The sequence below is a fragment of the Homo sapiens genome, chromosome 3, assembly GCF_000001405.40.
Source record: "Homo sapiens chromosome 3, GRCh38.p14 Primary Assembly".
NCBI lineage: Eukaryota > Metazoa > Chordata > Mammalia > Primates > Hominidae > Homo > Homo sapiens.
This window is the reverse complement of record NC_000003.12, coordinates 168140184-168143023: the sequence shown is the minus strand read 5'-3', so window position 1 is coordinate 168143023 and position 2840 is coordinate 168140184. Positions and strand designations below refer to the sequence as shown.

At 36.4% G+C, this 2840-nt stretch overlaps 1 annotated feature.

Moving 5' to 3' along the window:
* Positions 1330-1449: an enhancer, noted in NCBI's record as "active region_20775". NCBI's record gives its function as "activates an Ori minimal core promoter by ATAC-STARR-seq in GM12878 lymphoblastoid cells {active_cell/tissue: GM12878}" and the evidence as "EXISTENCE:reporter gene assay evidence [ECO:0000049][PMID:35858748]".

The following is a 2840-nucleotide window of genomic DNA, read 5'->3' as shown; positions in this document are numbered from 1 at the left end:
GAGCTGTCTCATTACAGCTAGTTGGGATTTGCAGAAACAGTGCTCTGTGCTCATGGGAATTACAAGAATGAGGCATTTACTGTCAGATTTAGTTCAAGATCCAATAGGTAACAAGTTATTATTTATGACTAGAGTCCAGGGCAGAAACAGGCCAGGAACCGGACGAAATGGTCGGAGATACAGACAAGTAAGAGGGAAACAAAGCACAAGGGAGTTGTAACAAACTAAATTGTTCTCCAGGTGATTCTATGTGAATCCAAGATTGAAATCCACTCCTCTAAATAGCTCCTTCTCCCAACTCATCATGTTGATTGGCCCAGTTGTAAGGGAAAAGGCTCAAATTCCAGTACCTTTGGGCAACACCTATTGATGTTCCAAGACTCAGCTTTAATATTATGTCCTTGATGGTACCCATTCCATCCTCATTCCTGTGGGCTCTATTATGCACTATGTGCATACAATTTTATTATAACACTGGTAATTTCCATATACTTATTTTTCTCCTCCACTGGGGTCCCAAAGGGCATGATTTGTATGTCTTTGTAGCCCCATTCCACTTGGCATATAGTCTGACAGGTGACAAATCCTCAATAAATGTTTATTAAATTATTAAGAATTTATAAATATGTATTTATTCTTAAATATATATTTAACCAGCCCATGTGGCTCATTTTATATATGTTTTGGACATTTATAAAAGGAAGAAAATGAACTATATTTTCTCTAAATCTTAAACCCTTTAAAATCTAAAATTCTGCGATTTCTGTCTCCCTGCATCATATAAAAATTATATATATGATGACAGAAATAATACTTTAGGTCTGTACTTCCCAAACATTAACATTCATGCTTCTCACCTGGGGATCTTGCTAAAATGCAAATCATGATTTGGTAGCTCTTGGAGTAGGCCTGAGATTCTGCATTTTTAGTAGGCTCCAAGGTCTTTCTGGTACCATCTGGTCAAGGACAGCACTTTGAGCAGCACAATTTTAGGAGATGGAGACTGATCCTGGCCCTCATGTCACATATTATAAGGCAGATGATATGATTTGGCTCAGTATCCCCACACAAGTTTTATCCTGGATTGTAATTCCCACATGTTGACAGAGGGGCCTGGTGGGAGGTGATTGAATCATGGGGCAGACTTCCCCCTTGCTTTTCTCATGATAGTGAAAGTGAGTGAGTTATCACGAGATCTGGTGGTTGTTTCAAAGTGTGTTGCACTTCCCCCTTCGCTCTCCTGCTCTGCCATGGTAAGACCTGCTCAATTCCCCTTTGCATTCTGCCATGAGTTTCCTGAGGCCTCCTAGCTAGGTCTCCTACCTTAACAGGAAGCCTGTAGGCTACTGCAGAACTGTGAGTCAATTAAACCTCTTTTCTTTATAAATAACCCAGTCTCAAGGTAGCTCTTTATAGCGGTGTGAAAACAGACTAATACAGCAGATAATGTAAACCTGAGCATCAGACTGCCTGGTTCAGATCCTGGTCCTGACACTTTTCTAAGACATTGGACAAGTCGTTTTCTAACATATTTGTACCTGAACTTCCTTATCTGTAATAGACCGATGATAGGGCTTTCGTAAAATGAACAAGTTAATTTATGTGCAATCCTTATTATGATGCTGCACTCATAATAAATGCAATATATATGAATACTACAGTTTCACTCTGTATAAGTCTACTTGTTTTAGTGGTTATCAGTTCCATATGTTCAAGAGCCCTAATTTTTTAAAAAAATCTTGAAAATTGTACAGAGAAGATGTATTTCCTTAGATTGAGAAAGCAAATGTAGGTTTCATAAGCCAAGAGACAAAATTAGAAGAAAGAAAAAAATTAACTTGTCATTTGTCTAGTAACATCTTTTCCTGCCTTCGCATGTCACAACTGCTCTGTGATAACTTTGAAAATACGTAGTACGTGTACCATTTCAGAAAAGGTAAAATTCTGGCATTAAAATTCATAACAAAAAGATACTCCAGCTAGAATATATGAATTGAAACTCAGTGCAGCATAAACATTAGCACATACAAAAAATACTTTTAACAATAGGATGCAGAACTCCTTTCCTGACACTAACATATCAGTTCTTCCACAAGCCAATTGCTTTTTAATGACAAATGTTAAACTCCTAGGGAGTTGTTAGAATGCAGAAAAGACAGCCCCAACCTAAAATAATAGCAAGTATAGGACTCAGCTTCAGAAAAGAAGAAAAAGATAAGGATCAGCAAGCAGAAAAAATCCCCAAACCAGAAAATCTAACATTATTAGGAGTATTGTGTCACTTTAAGAAGGAAAAAGGGAAAAAAGATAAAAGATGTCCCCAAAAAATCTTTTTGAGTTCCTAGTATCTGCCAAGTGTTTCAAATATATTTGAGTCGTAAATATCCAGTAACACTCTGTGGAAGGTGTTACAAATCTCATTTCACAGATGAGAATCTGAGAGTCAGAAGGTTATGCTTGCCAGACCTAGTTTTGACAGAGCTGGGATTTGAATCTGTTAGTGGATACTGTATGACTATATGATACTATGTAATTATATATGACTCTAGTTAGTTCCATCTCCTCAAACTTTGAAAGAACCTTCAGATATTTTTATTTTGAGATAATTTTACTCTTACTAATTTTATTTTTTTAATTTTTAATTTTTGTGAGTACATAGTAGGTGAATATATTTATGGGTTATGAGCCTCCAGATTTGATCCTGTTCAAGTTCAAATCAAGCTTAAAGTCATATAATAAATAATAAGCCAGAACAAAATGAAGTAGAAATGCATATGTTGTGCCAAAGATACATTCCATCGTTTAATAGTTTTCATTGAAAGAGTAAATCCTGGGACTCA